Below are 1,144 nucleotides of genomic sequence, written 5' to 3' on the forward strand. Positions count from 1 at the left end.
ATGGCATATTTGGTTTTCTTTCTGCGTGAATTTGCTTAAGATAACAGCCTCTAACTCCATCTATATTGCTGCAAAGGACATTTCCTTTTGTTGCTGTCTAGTATTCCATGGTATATATGTACCACATTTTCTTTTTCCAGTCCACCGTTGATGGGCATTTAGGTTGGTTCCATGTCTTTGCTATTGTGAATAGCACTGCAATGAACATACATGTGCATGTGTGTTTATGATAGAATGATTTATATTCTTTTGGGTATATACTAAGTAATAGGATTGCTTAGTTCAATGGTAGTTCTGCTGTAATTTATTTGAGAAAACTCCAAACTGCTTTCCACAGTGGCTGAACTAATTTACATTCCCACCAACAGTGTGTAAGTGTTTCCTTTTCTCTGCAACCTCACCATCATCTGTTATTTTTTGACTTTTTGATAATAGCCATTCTGACTGGTATGAGTTGGTATCTCATTGTGGTTTTGATTTCATTTATCTAATGATTAGTGACGTTGAGCATTTTTTCATATGCTTATTGGCTATGTGTATGTCTTCTTTTGAAAAGTGTCTGTTCATATCCTTTGCTTATTTTTTAATGGGGTTATTTTTGTTTATTAATTTAAATTGCCTATAGAGTCTAGATATTAGACTTTTGTCAGATGCATACTTTGCAAATATTTTCTCCCATTCTGTAGGTTGTCTGTTTACTCTGTTGATTACTTCTTTTGCTGTGTAGAAGCTCTTTAGTTTAATTAGATCCTACTTGTGAATTTTTGCTTTTCTTGCAGTTGCTTTTGGAGTATGTCATGAATTCTTTGCCAGGGCCCAAGTCCAGACTGGTATTTCCTAGGTATTCTTCTGAGGTTTTTATAGTTTTAAGTTTTATGTTTAAGTCTTAATCCATCTTGAGTTGATTTTTGTATATGGTTAAAGGAGGGGGTCCAGTTTAAATCTTCTGCATATGGCTAGCCAGTTATCCTAGCACCATTCATTGAATAGGGAGTCCTTTCCTCATTGTTTGTTTTTGTCTACTTTGTCAAAGGTCAGATGGTTGCAAGTGTGTGGCCTTATTTCTGGGTTCTCTCTTCTTTTCCATTGGTCTATGTGTCTGTTTTGTGCCAGCACCATGCTGTTTTGGTTACTGTAGCCTTGT

Source organism: Homo sapiens, chromosome 18 (genome assembly GCF_000001405.40).
Source record: "Homo sapiens chromosome 18, GRCh38.p14 Primary Assembly".
Classification (NCBI taxonomy): domain Eukaryota; kingdom Metazoa; phylum Chordata; class Mammalia; order Primates; family Hominidae; genus Homo; species Homo sapiens.